General features: G+C 52.3%; 1 protein-coding gene across 6 annotated transcripts in view, besides 8 other annotated features; it reads right to left on the reverse strand.

Annotated features, from left to right (window-relative positions):
* IQSEC1 (IQ motif and Sec7 domain ArfGEF 1) overlaps nt 1–26,275 on the reverse strand; it is a 386,215-nt gene that overhangs the window by 356,029 nt on the left and 3,911 nt on the right. The gene's annotated exons all lie outside the window — the stretch shown is intronic.
* Nucleotides 705–1,514: an enhancer, noted in NCBI's record as "H3K4me1 hESC enhancer chr3:13295276-13296085 (GRCh37/hg19 assembly coordinates)". NCBI's record gives its function as "activates a minimal SCP1, AML or CMV promoter by ChIP-STARR-seq in naive and primed H9 embryonic stem cells {active_cell/tissue: H9 hESC(naive and primed)}" and the evidence as "EXISTENCE:reporter gene assay evidence [ECO:0000049][PMID:30033119]".
* Nucleotides 1,515–2,323: an enhancer, noted in NCBI's record as "H3K4me1 hESC enhancer chr3:13296086-13296894 (GRCh37/hg19 assembly coordinates)". NCBI's record gives its function as "activates a minimal SCP1, AML or CMV promoter by ChIP-STARR-seq in naive and primed H9 embryonic stem cells {active_cell/tissue: H9 hESC(naive and primed)}" and the evidence as "EXISTENCE:reporter gene assay evidence [ECO:0000049][PMID:30033119]".
* Nucleotides 3,647–4,147: an enhancer, noted in NCBI's record as "H3K27ac hESC enhancer chr3:13298218-13298718 (GRCh37/hg19 assembly coordinates)". NCBI's record gives its function as "activates a minimal SCP1, AML or CMV promoter by ChIP-STARR-seq in naive H9 embryonic stem cells {active_cell/tissue: H9 hESC(naive)}" and the evidence as "EXISTENCE:reporter gene assay evidence [ECO:0000049][PMID:30033119]".
* Nucleotides 4,148–4,648: an enhancer, noted in NCBI's record as "H3K27ac hESC enhancer chr3:13298719-13299219 (GRCh37/hg19 assembly coordinates)". NCBI's record gives its function as "activates a minimal SCP1, AML or CMV promoter by ChIP-STARR-seq in naive H9 embryonic stem cells {active_cell/tissue: H9 hESC(naive)}" and the evidence as "EXISTENCE:reporter gene assay evidence [ECO:0000049][PMID:30033119]".
* Nucleotides 7,123–7,903: an enhancer, noted in NCBI's record as "H3K4me1 hESC enhancer chr3:13301694-13302474 (GRCh37/hg19 assembly coordinates)". NCBI's record gives its function as "activates a minimal SCP1, AML or CMV promoter by ChIP-STARR-seq in naive H9 embryonic stem cells {active_cell/tissue: H9 hESC(naive)}" and the evidence as "EXISTENCE:reporter gene assay evidence [ECO:0000049][PMID:30033119]".
* Nucleotides 23,536–24,036: an enhancer, noted in NCBI's record as "H3K4me1 hESC enhancer chr3:13318107-13318607 (GRCh37/hg19 assembly coordinates)". NCBI's record gives its function as "activates a minimal SCP1, AML or CMV promoter by ChIP-STARR-seq in primed H9 embryonic stem cells {active_cell/tissue: H9 hESC(primed)}" and the evidence as "EXISTENCE:reporter gene assay evidence [ECO:0000049][PMID:30033119]".
* Nucleotides 24,063–24,347: a silencer, noted in NCBI's record as "fragment chr3:13318634-13318918 (GRCh37/hg19 assembly coordinates)". NCBI's record gives its function as "represses an EF-1alpha promoter that drives an FKBP-Casp9 reporter gene in an ReSE screen in HepG2 liver carcinoma cells {active_cell/tissue: HepG2}" and the evidence as "EXISTENCE:reporter gene assay evidence [ECO:0000049][PMID:32094911]".
* Nucleotides 24,432–24,933: an enhancer, noted in NCBI's record as "H3K4me1 hESC enhancer chr3:13319003-13319504 (GRCh37/hg19 assembly coordinates)". NCBI's record gives its function as "activates a minimal SCP1, AML or CMV promoter by ChIP-STARR-seq in naive H9 embryonic stem cells {active_cell/tissue: H9 hESC(naive)}" and the evidence as "EXISTENCE:reporter gene assay evidence [ECO:0000049][PMID:30033119]".

Below are 26,275 nucleotides of genomic sequence, written 5' to 3' on the forward strand. Positions count from 1 at the left end.
TGTGAGGTTGCTTCTCGCTGTGGCTTTGACTGGATTTCTCCTGATGATGTTCAGCAGGACAAGAAAGTCTTTAAAGTGCTTTGAAAATATTGACTCACTTAAACCCCCAATAGCCCTATAGGATAGTTACCATTATTATCCCTGTTTTATAGATTTAACATTTCACTGAGGCAGAGAGAGGCTTGGTAACTTGCCATAGGGTACAGAGGCTAATACCATGAGTGGCAGAGCCGGGATCTGAACTCAGAGTATCAGACTCCAGAATGCAAGAGTTCCCAGAGAAGGGGTGTGGCACCCCCTGGTCAGCAGATTCCTCCCCGGAAGTAATCATCCCCACCCGAGGCAGCTTAGCCAAGATGGCGGGTATTGAGTGGTGCGGTGACACTGGACAGGGGGTTGGAAGAGCTCACACCAAGGCTGAATGAAGCTTCGGTAATACTCTGCTTTCAACTCATTTCCCCGCTGCCATACAGAAAACTACACTCAACTCCATTTTCCTAAAAACGCCATGCATCAAAATATTAGATAAGGGGTAGTCAGCATTTGATTTCTAAAAGGCAAAATGTGAGTGCACACAAGGGCACTAAGCAGAATGATTCTCTTAAGCAACTCTATTTTTGAAGTATCAACAGCCTCATTTTCTGGGAAGATTACTGCATGTAGGAGGAGCTCCGCTGTGCGACAAAAGCTAAATTAGGGAGGACAAAAGGCCACGGTTTTATCTGACGAAGAGGTAACCCAGCACCCATGCTTTTCCAAGTGCCTCGGTGGTTATGTCAAATGGCTCTGATACCCGGGGCCCCCAGAAGCAGAACCCCATTAAGACGGGGTGAAGAACACAGGCCACCGATGGAAGCTGTGTTTCCACCGCTGGAAATAGCTGCACATGCCTGACTGGGGCCCCAGCTTCTGACCAACAGGTGATGCGCCACTCAGGCAGCAGCCCCTCCACATAACTACAAGCCCTGCCTCCACTGTCGCATCTGAGGACAGAGGGCACTTCGGGCCACAGTCAGCCGTCACGTTGACCTGGAGGTCCTGGCTGGCATCACAACGCTGCCCTCTGACCTCACTTTGGCTTTATCCCTTTGTTTTCTGATCCAGATGAGATGCTCCACCCACATCGGCGTGCAGCCTGGCCTTGGTTTGATTGCAGACTCAGCAAACATGAACCGAGCCCGCTCCCCATGGCTAGGCCACACCCTGGGGACGCACTGGGGTCCTGAGGCCTCGCTGGCCAGGAGGTGCCCAGGCTGGACACGGAGGCCTGATGGCAGTGCCACAAGGGCGCCATGAACACACCCGGCCCATCAGTCCCCATGTCCAGCCCTCTTCCCTGCTCCACACCTCCAACTGGTGATCAGGAAGGCTAAGATGTGCCTGAAACCATTCTGAGCAGAGGTTGGTCCAAACCCCCCTGCACAAAGGTGTTAGTGAGGGATGAGCTGCAAAGAGCAAAAGGGCAGTAGGCAAGGTTTCATCACAGCCAGCACCGGCTGCAGGAAAACCAGCTCAAGCCCCCTTCGGTGACAGGCTTTGGCATTTGAGTAAAGCCCAAACCGCAGGCAAACACTTTCAACGACACAGCTCCCTGGCGCTTCCTACTCGTTTTCCTCCCTCCTCCTCCATGGACTCAAGTCCAGGTTCTACCACTCTACTGCCCAGCGAGCAGCAGGTGGCAGAGCCCTGCACCGGAGGGCTCTCCACAGCTCAGCTTAGAATCCTGGACGGCCCTGCCTGTCCCCACATTAGAGATGAGGAAACCGAGGCCCAGGGCTGCCCAGCTTTCCCAGGCCGCAGAGTTAGCCACCTGCGACCCGGGGCCTCCATGCGGTCTCTGTGCATCCACACAGCCTTCCTGCTTCCCCAGCATCCTGACAAAGCTCCAGATCCGACAAGGCACATCCACACAGCCCTCCCCCAACCTCCCTCGACAATCAGAGCGGACGCACTGGCAGGAACGTCTGGAAGACCAACCTCCACGTCAGGCAGCTCTAGAAGCTGCTTTTGTGTTAATTCAAAACTAATTTTCTGGTACCCAAGAAGGAACCAGGAACAGGTTCTTTTCTTTCCAAACCAGCTGGGCTTTAACAGAGAACACGCATGGCTGACCACCCCCCAGCACCCCAGCCCAAGGGAGGGGAGCCACTGCCTCTCTCCCCTAAAAGAGGCAGACCGGACACTGGGCTTCGGTGCTGCAGCCAGGGGTTCCTGAGGACGGCTCTGCCTTGTGAGACGGAGGTCTGTCCCCTGATCCTGAGGACACCTGAAGGGCCCTCTCCAACCTGGGGCAACAGGTGTATTGCTATGGATGGGGCTGGGGCTCCCACACGCAGGGCCTATGCTTGTATTGGAAGAGTAGAATATGTGCCCAGATTCAAATGGCTGCATCAACCCAGTCTCAGTCTGTGGTTAACTCAAGGCCAAACACTTCAACTAACACAGGAAAAAGTCTTGTATAATACAAAGGGGCAGACAGCAAGAGGATCCAACAGTGAGAAGGGGACCCTTCTTGGTGATGGAAAAGGGCTTACAGTGTTTTGGGGTTTTTTTTTTGTTCTTAGAGACAGGGTCTTGCTCTGTCATCCAGGCTGAAGAGCAGCGGAGGGATCATGGCTCACTGCAGCCTTGATTTCCTGGGCTCAAGCGATCCTCCCACCTCAGCCTCCTGAGTAGCTAGAAATACAGGCACGAGCCACTGTAATCTGCACTCAGCCGGCCTTACAGTGTTTCAATGACTGATTTGCTCCCCAAAATGGGATGCCTGGTTTTCCAACTAGCTTCAACCTCTTAAACCAGGGGTTCCAACTCAGAGGCAATTCAAACGCAGGCAGCAATGGGTGATGTCCAGAGATATTTTTGTTGTCACAACTGGGGAACTGGGGAGGGGGCGTTACTGGACCTGATGGCCTTTGGATCCTACAATGCACAGGGCAGCCCCCACCACAAAGAGTGAAGTGGTCCAAGCTGCCAGTGGTGCCAAGGCTGAGAAACTCTCAAACAGATGGACCCTTGGCAAGAGTTGCCTTAGGAAAAAAAATTAATACGGGACTATTGAAGATAATAAATAATGTATGTGATATCATAGGTACAGAGTTTCTGTCTGGGATGCTGAGTCTAGAGACGGATAGTGGTGACGGTGACAGCTGCACACTGAGTGTCAGGTGCACTGTCCACGACATGTTCCCACATTCTTCTGTACACGGTGATCTGCGGTACTGAATGCACACTTCAAATGGCTAAAATGGTAAATAAACACTTTGTGTTATTTATCTTTTAACCATAAAAAAATCTATGACACATCAGATATAATGATATCATATATAATTATATGTAACTACATAATTTTAATTATTTCACAAAGTTGCCTGTTCAGCAAGTACCAACTGTGGTTATAACCCACGGCATCAGCCCCATCCTTATCCCCCACCTGACAGATAAGCAAACTGATTGGAGGGCAGCCCAGTGATTTGCCCAGGGGAACTGGGGTTCCTAAGAGCCACACCCTCCTGAGCTGACCTCACCAACCCCAAAGCAGCCTTCGGGATATCTCACTCAACCAAAGTCACTGAGCAAGCGCTGGGGATGCAGAAGGGACCAGGCAGACAGAAACCCTTCCCTCCGGGACCCCAGGCCATGGTGGGAAGATAGAAAGTGGACCACAGACAGAAACCAAAAGGACAAACTGGAGGACCCGTCAGGTGGCAAACACCATGGAGAGACGCAAAGCACGAGAAGGGGAGAGGGACCCTGGAGGAGAGCAGAGGGAGAGCCTCACCTACCCTGGGGAGAGGGTGCAGCACCAGCAGCGGGTGCAGCACCAGCAGCCAGCGGCCCCTATCTTCCCCTGCTCCCCAACCCAAAAACAGGCCTGGAGCTCTGCCCCATATCCCAGCCAACCCGCTGTGTGTTCACAGACAAGCTCCTTAACCTCTCTGTGCCCAGTTTTCCCTTTTGTAAAAAAGAAAAAATAAAACCTACCTCTGGTGCTGCCATGAGGATTAAGGGAGGCAGCGAGTATAAACTGCTCACCACCCTGCCAGGCACGCAGTGAGGGTCAGGGAGGGCAGCACTTCAGTCCAATCAAGACTACAAGGGAGTCAGGATGGCACAGAGACACACCTCACAGCTCAGGGGCCTCAGGACGAACGTTTCCAAGTGGTCATTCTCACGGGCATGATTTCACATGTAAGCTGCCCCTGAGAAGCTTCCCCAGTGCATGCATATGAGACAGACAGACAGACATTCTCCAGAAGACATAACATTCCGGCTAGGCAGGACGTTCCCAAGGACACCCAGTTTCTCAGCCCACACTGAACCCCACGCTGTGGGTCCCACATTTGGTGACCTCGCTAGGCTCCCTCACATGGCCCTCCTAGCTGAGTTGAACACATCAGCATCACCCCCAACCAGACTAACCCTGGCTGGTGCTCATTGCACTGCCCCAGCCCTTCCCGCCCCCGCCTGGTGCAGTCCACGAAGCCTCAGGGAGACTCGGGACATCTTCCTCGTTTGAGCTCACTTGAGACCACTCAGTTTGGGTAGGGCTCCGCACCCTGCAGCTGGTCTGAGAAATGGGGTGGGGCACTACAGCCTGTGAAATCCTCTGAACCCGGAGCCCCTTAAAGGGGTCCAAAATCTAGAAGCCCAGGAATTAAAAACGGCACAGCCACTTTGGAAGACAGTTTGGCAGCTTCTTACAAAACTACATACGCCCCTGCCACACGGCCCAGCAATCACACTCCTTGCTGTTTACTTAAGGGAGCTGAAAATGTATGTCCACACAAAAACCTACACATGGGTGTTTATAGCAGCTTCATTCATGACTGTCAAAACTTAGACACAACCAAGATGTCCCTCAGCAGGTGAATGGATAAACTGTGCTACATCCAGACAATGGAATATTATTCAGTGCTAAAAAGAAATGTGCTATCAACCATAAAAAGCCATGGAGGAAGCTTCAATGCATATGACTAAGTGAAAGAAGGTGACCTGGAGGGAGAGAGGGATGAACAGGCAGAGCACAGAGGATTTTGCGGGGGGCGGGGGCAGAAACACTGCTCTGTGTGATGCCACAATGGCAGAACAAGCCCGTGGTGAACCATGAACTATGGGTAATAATGATGTGTCAAAGTGGGTTCATCCATTGCGGCAGATGTGCCACACTAATGCAAGATAATAATGGAGGGAACAGGGACGGCAGGAGCATGGGAACTCACTGTACTTACTGCTCAATTTTTCTGTAAACCTAAAGTGCTCTAAAAGTAAAGACTATTAACAAACAGCAACAACAACAACAAAAAACCTTTTAAAAAATCTAGAACTCAGGGCCAGGTGTGATGGCTCACACTTGTAATCCTCCCACTTTGGAAGGCCGAGATGGGAGGATCACTGGAGCCTAGGAGTTCCAGACCAGCCTGGGCAACATAGTGAGATCCCATCTCTAGAAAATTATTTTAAAAAAATTAGCCGGACATGGTGGTATGTGCCTGTAGTCCCAGCCACTCAGGAGGCTGAGGTGGGAGGATCACTTGAGCGCAGGAAATCGAGGCTGCAGTGAGCTATGATTGTGCCACTGCAATCCAGCCTGGGCAACAGCATGAGATCCTGAAAATAAAGATTAAATAAATAAATAAGTAAAAATAAAAATAAATCTAGAACCCAGAGAAGATAATGGAATGCAGCCAGTGAGGAGCACAACCAGCTGGGAAAAAGCAGCCTCTCACGCTGCGAATCGCACCCTCGCCCCCCTCCCCACCCCACAGGGGCTGGCACCAGTAACCTCCAGGAACCTAGGGAACCCCAGGATTCCACAGCATCACCCACTCCATCTGGGATTCTGGCAGGTGTTGCCTCACAACGGCCCCCAAGTCTGGGCTCTGCCACCTCCATCCCCTTCCCTGGCCCAAGACCTATCATCTTTCCCCTGGGCCTCAGCACAGCCCCTACCCTCTTTCCCTATAGTCTATCTCACACCATGGCCAGAGAGGTCTCTCAACATGATAAACTGGACCCTGTCATCCAAGCTCAAATCTTCCCAATGCTTCCCCACAGCAGCCAGAAAAAAATCCCAACTGCCCCCACTGGGCCACACCGCTCCACCTCCACCACCCTCTGCCATGCAGGCCCTGGGACGGGACAGTTTCCACTGGAGCAGGACCTGGACAAGAGGAAGTGCTCTGTAAATAGTTGATGGGTGTTCTAATGAATGAAGAAGCCCACAATGCACTGCACAGATGTTATCATCTGTATTCTCTAAGTGCAGAAACCAAGGCACAGCCCGAGGTCACCAAGCCTGTGAGCAGCGTCAGGGGAACTGACTGCTGGCCTGCACTAAGCCCAGTGCCATATTCTCCCCTGCACCCCATCAAAACAGTGGCGGGTGAGATAGCACTGTCATCGCCGGCCACGTCCTCATTTCCAGAAGCCCAACCTCCGAATCAGGGAAATACAGCCGACTCCCCAAGGCCTTCGAGGCGGGCTGATGGATGCAGTGTTTAAGCCATAACTGTTTTCACTAAGTGTTCATTAACTTGATGATTGCAGAAGACCCACTAGGCTGTTCGTTGCCATTCAAAACCAGCAGCTCCACAACCATCTCCTTGGGTCCATGGGGTCTCCCACAAACCTCCTTTCTTCCTGCCCTCCCGTGGGAGCCTCCAATGCTTACCTCCACCTGCTTCCACCTCTGGTCATCCACAGATGCCACAAGGGGATGCAAGCCATGCAGCCAATGCCACCCAAGAAAAGGTCAACGGGGCTTGCTTGTTGTGGCGCTCAGCGGGAGAAGTTTCTACCATATACAGTTATTAATGACTTTATTTATATACCAATATTTAGTTCTGCTTGCAATTAAGCAGATCTGCTTTCAAAATATGACTAATTAGAACAGTCGTGCTGGCAGGCAGACTTCTGCAAGGAATCACATTGTTCTAGCAAAAGTTGTGCCTGCCAGAGGCAAAACCAGGAGCTGGATCTCAGGAAGCAGCCTTGGCTCACCACGCCTGGAGGACAGTGCCTTGCAGGGCTGGAGGAAGAGGGGGAAGGAGGATGAGAAAAGAGAGTGAGGGAGACAGAAAAGAGAGGTGAAAGCGTGGAGGAGGAAGGGAAGAGGGTGGAGGGAAGGAAAGTTGCAACCCTCAAGCCCAGAGGCTTAATTTGTATGATGCTAGTTAACGATGTTCTCTGGCCTGACATTTGCTGCTGCTTGGAAGCCAACCAGAAAGGTATGGGGTTGCCTAACTCCCAGGTTGACATTTTGAAGGAAGCCAGAGAAGGGGCACCTATGCAGTGATGCAGAAACGCAGATCAATACACGACGGGCTGATGTGCAACACCCCCATTAATCCCTGAATGGCTTCTGTCCTCACAATACTCTCATTTCTGTCCAGTAGGGGCATGATTTTCTCATCTTTCACTGAGTGACAATTTTTGATCAAAACAGGTGCATCTGGCAAAGACAGCCAAAGCCCACGTTCCTAAGGGAATCTGCAAAAGTCCTGGTGTCCCAGGCTGCCTGAGAAGCAGCACCCCTCACCGATGCCTGAGTCTACCATCAAGGCCTGACCCGCCGCTGCCTCTTCCAACTCCAGCTCTGTGCCAGACACTATGCAGGGACTGAGGACACAGAGACCACGATGGCCAAGAAGCTGACCTTGGTGCCGGCTCCACAGTCCTCCTGGCAGGGTGCACGGGGCGTGGAAGGAGAAAGCCACATTGTCCTGGGGCCCGGGAGACAGGCCCAGCCAAGGAGGCTGAAAGCTTTGAAGGAAGAGGAGAGTGGAGGGGGTCCTCTGTGCTGAGCAGGACACATGGTGCATATGAGGAGTCCCCAGTGCTGGGCAGTGCAGAGGCCACCCAGCCCCCACAGCAGAGACTGGTGGAAATGAAGGGTTGAGAGGTGTGGGGACTGGGGATGGCCAAGGTCTTCCCTGACCGACGGCCTCAAGCTGCCATCACTCTCTCCCTACCTCCCAAGAGTGAGGGACAGATTTTTCAGAGGCGAGGACATGGCACTTGATTTGTATATAGAAAGATCAGCCTGACCAGCTATAGCGGACACTGGGGAGGCCGCCCAGGCGCCCTCCAGGACCTGTTCCCTGTCCCCGCCTGCCAGGAGTGCTGGCTGCTGAGGGCTCCCAGCTGAGTACCACTTGAGGACTGTCCTTGGCCAAGGTCACGCCTCCCTCCCCCAGGGGCCACACACAATGTCCGGTCGATGTGGAGGGACAAAGGGCAGTGCCCTGGCCTTGATTAGGGACACCCCTTCAGAGCCTTCCCAGCTCCAGAGCTCTGGTGGCATTGGCTATGGGAGGCCTCTGCAGAGACCACGCCATGCCCCTCGATGCCCCCTCTACCCATCCAGCCCCTCGAATGAGTGCTGTGCCCGAGAGCTCCCAGTGTATCCCCTTTCACACAAATCCCATCTTAGAGCCTGTTCCCGGAGAACTCAACCCCAGACAGCGAGCAAAGCCCCAAGTCTCCAGAATCATGTCCTCTGCAGTCTGTTCCCATCTCCCCCATCCCCCACCCCCGTCATCACATGTGCTGCAAGGAGCTGGTGACCAAGCATCTGTCCCCTGAGCTCCCAGGGCAGAGCCAGGGATGCATGGTCCCTGAGAGCTTACAGAGTTGAAGCCTCACCCCAAAATCCCCAATAAATCTCCCCTTGACAACATACCCGTGAAATTCACCCATGAAATTCACACAGCTCAGTTCCTTCCATAATTTATGGCACTCAATGCTACAAGCCTTGTTAGGCAAGACCCTGGGTGGCTGCGTCCCTAGCAGGTGAGCCAGAAGCCAACGTAAAAATGCCGTGCTCTGGGATTTTATGGATTTGTAAAATATCTGCCCAGTTTTTCCTTGGGCAACTTTCATAAATCAGTACACTTGACATCTTGGGAAAATAGGCAGCTCCTGTAAGAGCGTGAAGCCATTTTTGCACTCACTGCTGTAAACTCAGGCAACAGGAACAAGCACCTTTTCCTGTGACCATAAAGCCAGGCCTGGAGCAGGCCAGCTCCCTGGTGTGCTGGATGCTCAAGAGTCATGAGCCGCTGGACCTGAGCCACACTTCCCCAGGTGAACGGGGTCAGTCCTGAGAGGACAATATGAGCCACGATAACAACTGACCACATACTATGCACCGGGGTCTGTGCGCTCAACACTTTCCTGTCTTCTTCCTCAGCAGGATGAAGACCTTGCCTCAAAAATAAATACATAAATACATAATGAAAATTGTTTTCAAAAAAAGGAGGTGAGGGAGCAAGCCTGTCCCCGTCCCTCTTAGGGTAGGAGCCAGCACACTGGAGGGGCCTGGGGCTATCCTGAAACCATTCCTGTCTTTACCCACCATTCCACTGCCACAGTTTCCTGGTCTATAAAATGCAGATAGTAACACCTGCCTTGAGGGTTACGCTAGGACGGAGTTCGTAGAGCTAGAAGGACCTGCCACATCACCCCAGCACCCAGCAACCCCATTTCCTGGTATGTTCCCCCAAAAGAACTGAAAGCAGGGTCTTGAAGAAGTGTTAGCACACCCAATGCACATGGCTTCATTCACAATAGCCAAAAGGTGGAAACACCCAACTGTGCAGCAACAGATGACCGGATAAACAAATGTGGTCTGTCCACACAATGGAAAGTTACTCAGCCTTAAAAAGGAAGGAAATTCTGATCCATGCTGGAACATGGGTGAACTTGGAGGACATTGTGCTGAGTGAATAAGCCACTCACAAAAGAACAAATATTGCAGGATTCTCCTTGTGTGCAGTCCCTAGAGCAATCCAGTTCACAGACACAGGAAGTGGCTGGGGGAGGGGAGGGGGAGTGAATGTTTAACAGGGGCAGAGTTTCAGTGTGGGAGGATGAAGAGTTCTGGAGCTCGGTGGTGAACACGGTTGCACAACAATGTGAATGTTCCCAGCACTTTGGGAGGCCAAGGTGGACAGATCACATGAGGCCAGGAGTTCGAGACCAGCCTGGTAAACATGGTGAAACCTTGTCTCTACTAAAAATATACAGAAATTAACTGGGTGCAGTGGTACATGCATGTATTCCCTGCTACTCAGGAGGCTGAGGCTTGAGAATCTCTTGAGCCTCGGAGGCAGAGGTTGCAGTGAGCCATATCACACCACCGCACTTCAGCCTAGGTGATAGATCGAGACCCTGTCTCAAACAAAACAAAACAAAACAAAACAAAAAACCAATGTGAATATACCTAATGCCATTAAACTACACACTTAAAAATGGTGAAAAGGTGAATTTTATATTTTGTGCATTTATCACTATTTTAAAAGATAAAATACACAACCCTCCTTTGGGGGGAAAAAAGTACCTGACACTTTTTTTTTTGGGGGGGGGGGGAAAGTACCTGACACTTTTTTTTTTTGAGAGTCATGCTCTGTCACCCAGGCTGAAGTGCAATGGCGTGATCTCCACTCACTGCAACCTCCACCTCCTGGGTTCAAGCGATTCTCTTGCCTCATCCTCCCAAGTAGCTGGGATTGCAGGCACGCGCCACCACGCCCGACTAATTTTTTGTATTTTTAGTAGAGATGGGATTTCACATGTTGGCCAGGCTGGTCTTGAACTCCTGACCTCGTGATTGGACCGCCTTGGCCTCTCAAAGTGCTGGGATTACAGGCTCTTTGTGCCCAATGTGCCCAGCCCCACTTTTTTTTTTAAAGTAGGTACTCACCCAGTGCCCCGTCCCTGCCAGCCTCCCCCTTGCCCTAAGGCTGGAGTGGATCCTGGAGCGCCGGGCTGGGCGCACGCTTGCTGGTGACCTCAGCCAAGCTCTCAGCCCCTCTGAGCCACAGTTCTCTGAGCTGAAGTCGTGGACAAGAAAGTCTGCTGGCCCAGCCGGTCTCTGGATTTGCGTCCTTGTCCCTGCGCCTGTCCGCCTGGGCTTCCAACGTGCACAAGCCAGCACCACACAGGCTTGGTACAGAATCATCAAGATCAAAAGATTTGCTGGAGTGGATATAAATAGCCTTAAAGCTCCTGGCCTGGGCTTTTGAGCCGGACGGCGCCGGCCAGGCCACTGACCCCAGCCAGCCTGGCTGGAAAGTCCCCTTCCCTGGAGTGGCTGCTCCACCAAGCACAGGCTCCTGTGTTCTCCCAGCCTCCAGTTCAGGCTTTGTGTCTCCCGCCTGCCACACTGTCTGTCACAACTTCCCTCCAAACTTAAACTGGTTTTCCAGTCCAGGCCGACTCACTAGGCCCTGACCTGCCCATGGAAACCATCTGGCTGCCGTGATGCCCACCGGAGGCCGAGGGCTCTAAGGACAGCAGGGGCAGAAGGGCGGACACGGTGAAAACACGCCCCGCTGCCTGCTCTCCTGGGTCTCGGTCTTGTGTTCGCCTGGGTTCCTGTTCTAGTTCTCATCTGTCTCCAAGTCAAACCGCATGGGACATCATCTACAAAATGTAGCATTTTCTGACAGGTGCCCGGCACCCCCTCCTCCCCTCCCTCCCTCCAGCTCCCTCTCACCACATGGCACCCCTGGGGGACTGGCTTGGCATCTCCGGGCTCTAGCATCACTCTGCAGGAAGGCTGGCACTGAGGGTAGGCCTGGCAGGCTCGCGAAGCAAGTGAATGGGTGAACGAATCAATCACTAATTCAACAAGCGGGAGGAGGACGGAGGAGAGGGCAGGAGGGTCAAAAGGGGTCAAACACATACAGTCTCTGCCTCTCTCGGGGGACTGTCACCCAGCCCACCCCTTCCCTCTCACTCTATCCCTCTGGTTCTCTCCCCCTCCTCTCCCTCTCTTTCTGTCTATCCCTATCTCTGTCCCTCTCTCTGTCTCTCTCTGTCTCTCTATCACTGTGTCTCTCCCTCTCTCTTTCTGTTTCTGTCTCTCTGTGTCTCTCTGTCTGTCTGTCTGCCTCTCTTTCTCTCAGCAGCATGGCTGAGGGCAGAAGGATAAGAAGGTGGGAGCTGCAGCCCTGATACCCCTTCTCCCCCTGGAAAGCAGAGGAGCACCATTTCCAGCCCCTGAGAAGTGACCCTGATCCAGAAGGTCTGGTCATGCGTCCCCTCAACCTGTCCAAGTGAATCAAGTCTTGCCTCCTCCTCGGCCCGTGCAGGGCAACCTCACTGGCCCAAAGGCTCTTTCCCTGCGAGATCCCTGCCGGCCCCACCACAGCTAGATGCTGCCCTAACTGTGACAAGACACCCAGCATCCCCTAGGATCAGGGCCCAGCCCTCGGCAGAGCCTCTGCCTGTGCACTGGCACTGCGTGAAGCACCCAGCCCTCATCTGCTAAGTGGCTCAATTCACCATCCCAACACTTGGGCCCCAGGGGGACCCACCTCCACCCCCACTCCCTCAAACTCTGAGGTCTCAGGCTCCCAGAGATGAAGCACAGCTGCAAAATCACTCTCGAGATAACCTTAGGGTCAGGATCAACAAAGAGAGACCAAAACCAAATACACGAACACAGACTGAAACCCATGGTTTCTTCTCTCATGCAGGAGTCTGGCAGTGGGCAGTCCAGGCTGGGTGGGACAGTTCCTCCAGGTTACCAGGTTACAGGCTTCTGCAAGCTCACAGCCCCCTCATCCCTCTGGTGCAGCCACTGTCCTCACAATCCAAAGTGGCTGCCTAAGCCCCAGCCATCACATCCTCATTCCAGCCAACAGAACGCAGAGCAAGGGTCAAAGGATACAACAATCCTTTTTCAAGGTACTTTCTGGAAGTTGCACAGCACACTATTGCTTACCTCCTACTGGCTACCACAGAGTCACACAGCCACATGTAACCACCAGAGAGGCTGAGAAGGGCAGGCTTTATTCTGCTCTACGGGCATTTAAAAAAAAAAAAAGATGCTTTATTGCAAAAAAAAAAAAAAAAAGGAAACCAGATAACGGGAAGCAGCTATCTCAGCCACACACCCCATGCCCATCTAGTGCAGGGCTCCCTTTCACCTCCGAGACTCCTGTTATTACTTTCCCCACACCTGAAATGATCATGACCGAGGTCCACTATGGAGCGAGTGCTCCCACACCCCCGGCACTGGCTAGGCCTTGTCTGAGGGAGGCACTGTTCTTGAACCCATTTTCCATATGAGGAAACACTCCCCCGGAGCTCAGAATGGAGCCAGTATCCAAACCCAGACTGCATGCACCCACCACCTCCACAATTTTGTCTTAGTCAAACTGCACTTGGCACATTGTGGCAGGAGAGATGACAGTGTTCCATCTCAATGCCATCGCCCTTGGACTCCATGTGGCATCAAGCAGCCTGAGACACAGCTTTCCCTGGAGGTCTCGAAAGTATTGAAGATGCCCAAGGAGCATAGTTCTAACTAGCCCAAACGCCAGCCTCTTACAGGCTAAAAGTCAAGCTCAGCCTGCAGTGCAGCTGGGTGACGGGGAGCCCACAGGCCCCTGAGGCCCAGACCCTGCGCAGGGACTTTCTCATTAAACCAGGAGGCTCAGGGAAACCCACACAGCGTGCACAGAGCAGCAGTCAGCAGCTCCGATGATGGGGAGGAAGCAGCTTTTTTTTTTTTTCAATAAAATCAAGCAAAGGAGAACTATTCAGGGAGAAATACGGAAAACCGCTGAAGCCGTCACCTTAAGAAGAAACCAAAAGCCAACCCTCTCCAAGGTAGGCACAGGGAGACCCCACATGCTGAATCCCCAGGGTCCCTGAAGGATAGCACAAAAGTGGAGGCCAGGACAATTAGGGGCTCACCGTCCTCCCTAACAACGCTCGCTGCCTCCTCCAGCCAGGCGGTCCTTCTAGCAAGCTCTTATCTCAGCCCCCAAAACGGGGTGCTCCAGGGGCACATCTGCTCCCCCACCAGGCTATGAAGTGGACGGCAGGAACGCCCTGGGCCCCCGCTGCACCCCTGACCCCTGGCTGCACCCCTAACCCCCACACATAAGAGGCTCCATAACCGCTTACTCGATTGGACCTTGCTGTGGTCTGAATGTCTGTGTTCTCCCCACCAGGTTCATGTGTTGAACTCCTCATCCCCAGGGTGATGGTGTTGGGAGGTGGGGCCTCTGGGAGGTGGTGAGGTCATGAGGGCAGAGCCCTCCTGATTGGGATAAGTGCTTTATAAAAGAGGCCCAGAAAGCTCCTCGCCTCTCCAACCATGTGAGGACAGCAAGAAGACACCATCTATAAACTGGAAAGTAGGGCCCTTGAAAGACACTGAACCTGCTGGCACCTTGACCTTGGACTTCCCAGCCTCCAGAACCGTGAGAAATAAATGTCTATTGTTTATAAGCCACATAGTTTATGGCATTTGTTATGGCAGCCTGAACAGCCGAGGACAGACCTGGTACCAGTTCAGTGGAGATAAAAGAAACTACATTTTACAATAAAAACAATCCACACAAAGAAGAGAGGCTGACATTCTGATGAAATAAAAGCCGCGTTTTCCATCCCTCTGGTTGCCTCCAGCCAAAGAGGACTGGATTTTTGGCATCTGATGAATGAAAATCTGGAAAAACGGAGATTAAACAAGTCCCCCCAGCCCTGTGCCCTTCTGGGGCCAGAGTCAGCAAATTTCTTTTTTTTTTCTTTTTCTTTTTTTTTTTTTTTAGACAGAGTCTCGCTCTGTCGCCCAGGCTGGAGTGCAGGGGCACCATCTCCGCTCACTGCAAGCTCCGCCTCCCGGGTTCACGCCATTCTCCTGCCTCAGCCTCCCAAGTAGCTGGGACTACAGGTGCCCACCACCTCACCCGGCTAATTTTTTGTATTTTTAGTAGAGACGGGGTTTCACCGTGTTAGCCAGGATGGTCTCGATCTCCTGACCTCGTGATCCACCCGCCTCGGCCTCCCAAAGTGCTAGGATTACAGGTGTGAACCACCGCGCCTGGCCAGAGTCAGCAAATTTCTTAAACAAGAAGGCTGTGCCCCCCCTTAACCAGCTCTCCTCCAGATCCACCCACATCCTCAGTCTGGAGCTTTCACATTTGGGGGGATGGAAAAGAAGCAGCTTGGTGAGTCCTGTCCGTGAGGGACAAGCATCACACCACTGCTAGCAGGACCACCCTTTGCAGAAACCACAGAAACACAGAGGCCAGGTTCTGTCACGGCCAATGCACACCCCTGAGCAGAGCCCAAGAGCTCAGCCAGAGGAGGGCCACAGGGCCACCAGACACGAAGCAGGATGCCAAGAGCACTGGTTTGGGAGTCCCACAGACCAGGTCCATGTCTGGTCCTTGCCATTTACTAGCTGTACAACCCTAGACAAGAACTTCACCTCTTTGAGCCTCAGTTTTCTCATCTTCATAATGGGGCTGCACAGATAAAAAAGGATCAGCTAGCACACAACAGGTGCTTAATACATACTTACTTCAGCCCATCTCATAGAAGAGACCCTTATTGCCAGGGAAGCTGCTGTCTCCAGGAGAGAGCAGTGAAAACTCAGCTGTGGTCCAGGCCACTGCCACTAGACTTTCTGATGAGGCTCCCCTATCAGAAGGGTTGAGCAAGACTCCCACCATGAACCTGTGTCTTTATAAGTCATGTGCAGATGAGACTGCACTGATGTCACGAATATCCGTAAAAGGGCCCACCAAAAAGATGTTTCAGGAGGAAATTAAATAATAAGTGCAAATACAATCTTAATTGTACACGTTTTCCCTGCACCTCAAAGAATCAAGTCCTTTGCCCCTAGGGGTGTGTGCATTCCACTCTGGAGACCCTTGTCCATGTAACAATCGTCGATTCATTCAAAATATGTCATTTTAAATTTGGGCAGTTTGGTAGGAGGGCTTCCAAAGATGAGCAAGGTATGGCTGCTGCCTGCCCCAGAGAGGGAAGATGCAAGCCCCCAGGCCCCCAGTGGTAACAAGACAGGAAGCCTGCAGAGGGACCAGGGCTACAGGAATAAATATAATCAACATAAAGAGAAGACATTTATTCTAACACGTGTCAGCACCATGAAACGTTCTGAGATCAGAGTCAGTCCTCAGAGGACGTGCGGGGTTTCAAAAGGCAAGAACAGAGGTGTGGGCTGGGTATTCCAGGCAGCGGGAACAGCATGAAGTGTGAAAATGGCAGGCATCCGGAGTGAGCTGCAGTGCAGGGGGTTGGGGTAGGCAACCAGCAGGCACTTGGCCACCGGCTCAGGGCACTCTTGTGAGCAAGAGAGGAACTCAGGCCAACACTCCTGCCCTCAGGGCAGGACGACAGCCAGGCAGGAGCGAGGCTGCTTGGGTGTCCTTAGTGCTCAGGGAGAAGGTGGGACTGAGAAGGCAGCGCTCTCAGTGACTGCAGCCATCCACATCGCACTGCAGGGATGATTTTCTCCAGACCCCCTTTCCCTCTCTGGATGTTTTGGCTGCTTTGCCATATGGCAGGAGTTAAAAATACAGCTTGGAGTGAGGGGGATGCAGATGAGAACAGGCAAGCATTCCCTGAGTGACTGGGCTGGGAAGCCCAGCCCACTCCCATCCCCTACCCAGGGAACAGGTCAGGTCCCTGCCCAAGAAGCATCCTCAGTGCCCAAGCCAGGTTGTGGGGGGCAGGGTGCTGGCCTCCTGATGAGCTGCTCTGGAAGATGAGAATGCCACAGACACAGCCACCCCTAAAAGTGATCCTCCACAGACAGGCCAGCTCAGCAGGGGCAGGACAGCAGCCACATTCCAGGCAGAGAGAGGGGAGCGAGGCCCACCTGTGGGCAGGCCACTCTGAAACTTCCGCAGCCTTGACAGGGAGAAGTGACAGAGCCCAGTCTGAGCAAACCAAATGTGGGAGATTAAGGACCTCTGCAAATTGTCCCTCCTTCTCCCAGGGAGGGTGGAGGCCAATTCCTCTGCCCTTGAATTTGGGCTGGCCTTGTGATCTGCGTGACCAATAAGATGTGGCAGAAGTATGTCTGGGACTCCAGAGGTCCAATCACAAGAAGCCTCACATTTCCCACACAGGCCTTTTAGAACACTGGCTCTGGGGGCCCCTAGGCCACCAGATTGGAGAAGCCACATGTGGATATTCTGGTGGCAGTCTCAGCTGAGCCCACCTCCCAGACACCTCCACAAGGTGCCGGATGTGTGAGTGAAGTCGTTTTGGACCCTCCAGATCAGCCAATCATGCAGCTGAATACCACTGAGTATTCCATTAAAAACATAGGGAACAGAAGAACCACCCAGCCAAGCACTGCCCAACCTCTGATCTGCAAAATGAGATATAATAAAATGGTGGTTGTTTTAAAACTAAATGTTTAATTAATTTGTTACAGGCCAACAAATAAACCTTACGGTGACTGAATGATGGATTAATTGACTTGCTGATTCATTCATTCAATACATATTCATTAAAACCTACCCTGAGGCAGGACCCCTTAAAGAAATAGCAGAGACAAATAATTCACTCCCCTTGTCTTCAGGAAGCTTCTGGGCTGGTTCCTTGGTGCCTACCCAGTTTGTGATGGGTCTGCACCTGTGTTTGCCAGCTTTCTTCTCTGGGGCCTGCCACTTTCTGGGCTTCACTGTCAACATTCCCTGTCCAGATCCTGCCCCTGTCTTTATTCTCTCTGGGTGAGGATAAATTCATGTGGGAGGTTCTGCCTCTAGAACAAGTTTTATCATGCTCTGAAAGGTCCCCTATATACTAAAATAAACAAGGGGATTAAAATATTACACTAGAAAAATAGTTAACACAAAAGAAGGTAGTAATGGAGGAATATAGGAAGAAAATAGATATAAGATGCAGAAAATAAATGACAAAATTGTATATATAAATCTCACCTTATCAATAATTATATTAAATGTAGATTAAACACTCCAATCAAAAGGCAAAGACTGGTAGAATGGATAATAGAAAACATAATACAACTACATTCTGTCTACAAGAGATTCACTTTAGATTCAAAGACACAAATAGGCTGAAAATGAAAGGATGGAAAAAGATATACAAATGGTAACCAAAATGAGTTAAAGTAGCTATAACTAAAATCAGACAAAATAAACTTTAAGATATACATTGTTACTAGGGACTGAGAAGGACATTTCATAATGATAAAAGGGACAATCCATTAAGAAGACACAATAATAGGGCTGGGCGTGGTGGCTCATGCCTGTAATCCCAGCACTTTGGGAGGCTGAGGTGGGCTGATCACGAGGTCAGGGGATCGAAACCATCCTGGCTAACACGGTGAAACCCCATCTCTACTAAAAATACGAAAAATTAGCCAGACGTGGTGGCAGGAGCCTGTAGTCCCAGCTACTCGGGAGGCTGAGGCAGGAGAATGGCATGAACCCAGGAGGCGGAGCTTGCAGTGAGCCGAGATGGCACCACTGTACTCCAGCCTGGGTGACACAGCAAGACTCCGTCTCAAAAAAAATAAAAAAGAAAAAGAAGACACAACAATAATAACCTTTTGTGCACTCAACAACAGAACCCCAAAATACATGAAGTGTTTAAACTGACAGAAATTAAGGAAGAAAGAGACAATTAAAGAATAATAATTGGAGGCTGGGTACAGTAGCTCATGCCTGTAATTCCAGAACTTTGGGAGGCCAAGGTGGAAGTATAACTTTAAGTCAGGAGTTCAAGACCAGCCTGGGCAACAAAGCAAGACACCATCTCTACAAAAATTTTAAAAATCAGCTGGGCATGGTGGTGCACACCTGTAGTCCCAGCTACTCATGAGGCTGATAGGGAGGATTGCTTGAGCCCAGGAGTTTGAGGTTACAGTGAGCTCTGATTGCACCATTGCACTCCAACCTGGATGACAGAGCAAGACCCTTTCTCAAAAAAACTATAATTAAATCAAAATAAAAATTAACAAATAAGAATAACAATTGGAGACATCAATACCTCACTTTCAATAATAAACAGAGCAGGTAGGCAGACCAACAAGGAAATATAAGACACAAACAAGACTACAAACCAACTAGGCCTATCAAACATGTACAGAACAGTCCACCCAACAGCAGAAAACATTCTTCTTAAGTGTACACGGAACATTCTCCAGGATAGACTGCATCTCAGACCCTAAAATGGGTCTCAACAAATTTAAAAGGACTGAAATCACACAAAGTATGATCTCTGAACAAAACGGACTGAAACTAAGAGTCCCCTAAAAATGTCTAGATGACAGCTCTGATAGGGATATGCTTGGCTGATCCTTGCTCATACCACAACCTTCCCAACCACCCTTGCTTTGTTTTGCCTCAGTTCCCCCATATATACCATGGAGATAATAATGCTCCCCACTTCACAGAATCATGGCAAGTGCTTACAATAAATAGCCAGTCATCAAGGTTGCTATTATTGCTCATCAACAATGGAGGGGTGGCGGCAACCCCTCACATTCCATCCCTAGGTGAGAGACATTCATTCGTACAATATTACACTTTCAAGACACCTTTGTTCCCATTATTTGATGTGGTCCATCACAGCCCTGCAGGATCGTCTGGTGAAAGGGAAAGTTGGTGGTGGTGAAGCCCCAGTACGGGGGCATCTGTTGACTCCTTAGCCCAGAGACTGGCTCACAGTAGGTGCCAGGGAGGGCAAGCAGGCCAACCTAGGGGTGAGGGTCAAAGGGGATGGTCAGAGTCACCCCGCACACCCCTTTTAGGTGGCGGATTTTTACACATCTCGATGTCCGGCAACTGCTGAGCTGGGTAAGAGTAAAGCCTCACAGAAAGTAAAGACAGAGATGTGAGCATGTCATGGGCTGTGGGAGGGGGATGGAACTTTCCAGGCTCCTCCTTTTTTGTCGGGGAGGCCCTAATTCAATTTAATAAAATTAAGACTCCACAACTTTAAAACATGTGAAGAGGCTGCAGCGTTAAAGGGATTGAGATAACACATCGTACAAAGGGTTGGATTCAAAATCAGCAGCATTAACTATGCAGAGAAGTGGGTAGATAAGAGACATGTGCTGAAACCCAAGTCACCTGATTCTAAATTCCATGACTTTCTAAAATCACTTTCCTTCTCAACAGAGAAAGAAGAAACAATAATGATACAAGTGGCTCTGTGCACAGTTACATACATCAAGGATGTAATCCTTGCCACTCCTCTAGCAGGGAGGTTTTATAACCCCATTTTACAGGTGAGGAAGCTGAAGCACAGAGAGGCTCAGCCACAGGCCAGAGAAGACAAAGACAGGTGGTGCATGTGGAGGGAGCTGGGATTCAGGCTGCTGGCCTGGCCCCAGAGTCTGTGTCCTGGCTCCTGGCCACCGTGCTGCCCAAATACTCCACCGGGAGCCTCACCCAAGCCATCTAGAAGTCCTGGCCAGCCCAAGGGAAGTGAACATCTCTGCTTGGGCTGCTCCTCCCTCAAGGTGAAAGAGGGGAGTGGCCTGGGTGTGGGAAGCCAGAGGCAGAGTCCAGGGGTGTCGCCAACCACCTCACTCCCTGTTTCAAGAACTCCCCGTTTCAAGAACTCCCCATTCCAAGAACTGCTGCAGGCAGCCAAGATGGGCACGGCCCCTCCCATCTGGAGCCACTCCTTTGGTTCCACTCCTCTCTCTCCTTCCCATCTGAACTGGCGATTGTTGGGGGAAAAGAGAGGGTGGGGCCGTGTGCCTTCAGCCCCAGCCCACGTGCTCCTGCCCATCCCAGCAGCCTCTGCCCAGGATCCCAGCACCCAGCTCTGCAGCATCTCCTGAAGCCTCCCTCACCCTGGTACCCATGCCTGCCCCAGGGGCCAGAGATCCTGCCCAGACCTAAGTCCCATCACTTCCTCCTCTGCTCAACACCCTCCAGGGACTTCTGTCTCCCTTAGATCAAAGCCAAAGTCCCCAGTGGGCCCACATGGCCCTGCTGGCTCTGCCTCACCCCTCGCCCCTGCCCTGTTTGCCTCCACCCTCCTCTCTCATGCCCTCCCCCTCACTCTGCCCCATGCACACTGGTCCGCTCCCTGCACCTCAACCACGCCGCCAGGCACACTCCCCACTCAGGGCAACCCTAAGAGGGAGATCCAGTTGTCACTGTCCCCATAGCAGAGATGAAAAATCTGAGGCTCAGAGAGGTGCATTTCACATGCCGAGGGGGAGAAAGTACAAGCAAATCCCAAAGCCGGGACCCTCCCTCCAGTCCTGTCTTTGGGTTTTCCCAGGCTACCCCACCAGGTCCCATTCAGCCTCGGGCTGTTCATGGGCCCTGCAGCCCATCCGTGAATCTCATCCACAAACATGCCTGCCCCCGGAAGTGTCCCCAGAGGCTGTCCCCCAACACCACCAGACACGTGCTAAGGACTTCTCACCTGAGCGCTGAGGCCATCCAGGAAGCAGAGGATCCCACCCCGCACCTTGTCCTCGCAGGGCCAGCACTCCACAGGCAGCTACAAGTGACTTGCAAGGACCCTCCTGCCCTACCGGTCCCAGGACACCCTCTGGGCAGGCCCTGTCTTCTGCCCTTGGCAAGCTGTGCTCCTGCGGTTCCCACGGAGGGGGCGGGCTCAGGCCCCTTGGTTCTCCACGGGTGTGACGCTCTTCATGCAAGTGGTATGCAGAGCAAAGGACAGCTAAACCACCACAGGTGCTTCCAGCAAAAGCTGGGGCAAAGCCAGAAGAGGGGCCCCCATCCCAACCCTCCCCTGCGACCACATGTCCCAAGTGTGTCCTGCATGAATGAAGACGTGAACAGCAACTTTCTGGGAGCTCAGCAAGTGTTCATCTCAGCGGAGTGGGGAGGTCAGACCAACTCAGAGAGGAACACCCGGCACTGGCTGCTGGGTGTGCTGCATGGCTTAGAGGGCCCTCCCCAAGCACACTGGCACCCACTGCCCATAGCAGCCCTGCCAGCTGGGTGCAACCACTGTCAGCTGCTTTGCAGAGAAGGAACTTGGGCTGTCTCCAGGTGGGTGACAAAGCTACATTCATTCTGGCTCCTGAAGCCAAAAATCTGGGGAAGGGACCATGCCACATTTGGAAACGGCCCCCAATGTTTCCAAAACATCTACACAATGCAATGAACAGTTCTGAAGCAGCCCAGCGTGGTGGTGAACTGCACCAGCCCTGGAGGCAGACAGACCTGGGTGTGAATCCCGCCGCTGCCACTGGGTGACTGTGGGCAAACCACTTAACTTCTTTGAGCCTCAGGTTTCATATATGCGAAATGGGATGAGGACAGTTCACACTTGTCACAGGGTTAGAGCATCAACAGAGACATGGAGAAGAATGTGCCCAGCAGGCAGCACCTAGAACGGGCTCGGTTATTGCTGTGGCCTCACTACAATCAACACATTCTAAGTTCAGGTGCAGAACGACAGTCTCTAACCCGTTCCTTTGTGGATCTCGCCTCATCCAAGAGGGAAAGCTGAACACTTCAAAATCAGGATTCAAGCTAGGCCCAGCTTGGAGGGCAGGGGCCAGTCTTGTCCACCAGCTCCCTAAAACTGATACCTGGGTTCTAAGAAAGGCAAGTGCCCTAGGCTGGTCTGTGCCCATCTGGGCCTCACCTGGCCCAGTTGCACCGACCTGTTACAACCAATGACAGCACCGCCCAGCCCCTCACACACCCCGGGCACAGACACACCACACATGCTGCTTCCCCTGCCTTGACACCATCCTCCTCCTCTCTCCTGCTCTTCAAGTCCCAGCTCAAAGGTACGTCCTCCAGGAAGCCTCTGCTGACACCCGTGGGTGGTCACTCGCTTCGTGCTCTGGGGCTGCACACCACTTGGCCCCCTTCCTCCGTGGCCTGATCCCTCTGTAATCTTCCAGGTACAGGTCTCCATCTCCTATTTGCATGATGTTTCCAAGTGGAGGCAGTGGGGGAGCGGCCCTAACCAAGGACAAGCAGCCCAGGAAGGGGTGTGAGTAGAAGAGGTGGCAGTCGGGTGCAGGCAGTGCAGGGCCCGGCTCCTGGGCCACAGCAGGCGCTCTACCGATGTGAGCTCCCCATCCACAGAGTTCCAGAACTCCAAGGACGGAGGGGCATGGAACATAGTAAATATTCCAAAACCTTCATTGCAGAATCCAGGGGGACAGTGTTCTGCCCCATACAGCTCTTGCAACTTTTCTATATGTTTGAACATTTTTGTAATAAAACATTGAGGGAAAACAATCCTCAAAAGCATTCTTTTTTTTTTTTTTTTTTTTTTTTTTGAGACAGAGTCTTGCTCTGTCACTCAGGCTGGAGTGCAATGGCGTGATCTCGGCTCACTGCAAGCTCTGCCTCCCAGGTTCACACCATTCTCCTGCCTCAGCCTCCCAAGTAGCTGGGACTACAGGCGCCTGCCACTGCGCCAGGCTAATTTTTTGTATTTTTAGTAGAGACGGGGTTTCACCGTGTCAGCCAGGATGGTCTCAATCTCCTGACCTCGTGATCCGCCCGCCTCGGCCTCCCAAAGTGCTGGGATTATAGGTGTGAGCCACTGCACCTGGCCTCCTTCAAAGCATTCTTGATGCCCTGGCTATTCCTCCCCTGGAGCCACCACCTAATGCGGGGCCACAGGCAACTCCTGTATCTGCTCTCCCTGCACGGAAGTGGCCTTCTCCATTTTCATGGGGAGAGACAGCAACTCAGAGAGGCTGGGGCTGTTACTTGGAAAGTCCAAGCAGCAGGGAAGTGGCTGAGGCAGGGCTGGGATCCTGCCAGCCTGCTACGGGGACAGGGCTAACTGTCCAGGAGCCACAGATGGGGGCCTGCAGGGTCCCCAGAGCAAGGCCAAGGCTGATGGGCTGGAGAAAGGCATTGGCAACCTCAAGGCAGCAGCCGTTTCCCGATGAAAACAGAAGCACCCAACGTTTGCCATAACTGGCCCGGTGCATCCTGCTGGAATATCCACCCCTCGGAGGGCAGGATTCAAACTCCCAAGGCCTTGCTACCTCAGAGCTTCAAGTCATTTGGTTGCAGCCTGGCCCGGGTCTGCCCTGGGTGGGGGCAGCACACTGGAGGCCGCTGAACTCGGACTGCCTCCTGGCCCCACCGCAGCCTCTGCTCCATTTCAATTAGGTCAATTCCCTCTCCCCTATTCCAGTTCTTGCCAAATGCCTGGCTGGCCTGTGTTGTTTTTTCTGCTGCTCTGTGGCAATTATACGGCTGACACCCTGACAAGCTCAGAATGGTGCACTTCCCAAGTTAGGCAAAGCATTGCTCCTCCTTAAAAAAAAAAAAAAAAAAAAAAAAAAAAAAACAGAAAACAAGACACAAAAGACCGGATCAGCTGTCAAAACAATGTCATAGACAAAACAGCTGAGAAATAGCCACCCAGCTGGCAAAAAACGCTGATGTCCCCAAATGCCTGACTCCAGGCCCCTCCAACGTGACCGACCCCTCTCACTCCCCCCGGCACAGCAAAGCCTCCTGATCTCTGCCAGGTGCAGCGAGCCTGAATCCAGAAAGGGGAGGCAAAAACCAAACGTCGGAAACAAGTAGGTCCCGACTTTATTTCGCACACAGTGCCACTCGCTGTCTTCCTCAGCTCGAGCTGGATAAAGAAACATCTCATGGTTTATTTTCCAGGTTGTAAAATAATAATTTGCCCAGTCTGTCAGACAGCTGGGAGAGCTTCGGAGACACACTCCCTCGTCTTTCTGTGGACTCTACCATCTGCTGGAAAATGAGAATCACTCTCCCCACTCCCTTGGAGTTGAACACATTTTGTCCCATCAGACAAGTCTCCCAGAGCATGCTGCAGCTCGTTCCTGACTTGGGGACTTCCTCCCCAGCACTGGACACGGGCTTTATCTTGGCTGGGAGAACAAGAACATTATTGAACCAAAACATGACACAGTATCTCCCTCTGCCCTGCCACCCTTTCTGCCAAATCAGAGATCAGAAAAGAGCCCTCTCGGCCTCACTCAGTCTCTCTACAGCCCCCTCCTCTTTGCTAAGAGGGGACAGGAAATCCAACCTAAGTGCCCTCAGCCCCCCGCCCCTGGCCCAGCATTGGTGCTTCCCGGCCACTTTGAAGAACAACACACTTATCAGGGGCTCCCGGCAGGACCCTCCTGAGGGTGGCTTCCTCCTGCCCATTAGGACAATCCAGCCTCCGCTGCTGCCCCCTCATCAGTGGCCACCCCTGAGCTTGCCTCTGAACTGACGTGCCGCCGTACGGTTAATGTCACCATGAACCCGGCAAGAATACTGGTTTGGTAAATCAACAGAGTCTGAATGCCACTGAAAACCTCCCCCGGAGTGAGTCACCAACTCAGAGCTTCAGAAAAACGTCCTCTCCCAGTGATATGACAGCACTTAAGGGCTGGAGGGGACCAGAAAGCGAGGCAGGCCACTCCACTGGGCTTCCCCCCCCCACCCCCAGCCTCCTTAGGCGATGTTTCCTTTTGCCAAGGAACTTTGGAAGATCAAAGGCTGGAAGGAATCATCTCATTAAATCCTTGCCCCCTCTACACTGCCACCCCACGTGACACCGTGAGCCCTGCCTTGGTGACAAGATTGCACACGGCAGGGTGGAAACCTCCCATCTGGGCTTTCTCCAGCTTGAGAGGCCAGGAGTCACTGGGATCCTGGGAGATGGTCTGGCCATTCGACAGCATGAAGGGCAGGTGGTGGGTGGATAGGAGCTGGGGGGAGGCTGGGTGTGGTGGCTCACGCCTGTAATCCCAGCACTTTGGGAGGCCAAGGCAGGTGGATCACCTGAGGTCAGGAGTTTCAGAGCAGCCTGACCAACATGGTGAAACCCCGTCTCTACCAAAAATACAAAAATTAGCCAGGCGTGGTGGTGCACGCCTGTAATCCCAGCTACTCAGGAGGCTGAGGCAGGAGAATTGCTTGAACCTGGGAGGCGGAACTTTCAGTGAGCCGAGATCACATCATTGCACTCCAGCTCTGGATGACAGAGCAAGACTCCGTCTTGGTGAGGGGCAGGGTGGGGGGGGACAGGGAAGAGCAGGGAGGCCAAGCCAGACCATCTGAGTACAAATCCTGGCTCCACCCCGTAGCCAGATGGGAGAGCTTGGGCAAGGCCATGATTTCTGAGCCTCAGGTTCCACATCTATAAAATGGGAGCAGCAGCTGCACCTGCCTCGTAGGAGTGATGAGACAAGGAGATGACCTGACCAAGGCATAGACCGTAAGCAGGGCAGGCACACAGGAAGCCCCCGGTGGATGCAGCCATCGGCCCCACCCCTGCTCCCTGGGATTTGGGTCTGGGTGATTTTCAATCCCAGCTGGGCCTGCTGAAGTTCAACTGACTTTCTAAAGGAAAATGCAATGGCCTGAATCAATCCCTCTGGCTTCATCCACTCAACAAATCTTTACTGAGTGCCTATTATGCGTCTGAACCTCTAGTGAGCAGAGAGCAATTCTAGAAACAGATCACTAGCATGTAGCCAACCAGACATTGGATATGAATTCTGATGTCAGGGTAAAAGCATAGCCAA

This window comes from Homo sapiens, chromosome 3 (assembly GCF_000001405.40).
Source record: "Homo sapiens chromosome 3, GRCh38.p14 Primary Assembly".
In the NCBI taxonomy this organism is placed as follows: domain Eukaryota; kingdom Metazoa; phylum Chordata; class Mammalia; order Primates; family Hominidae; genus Homo; species Homo sapiens.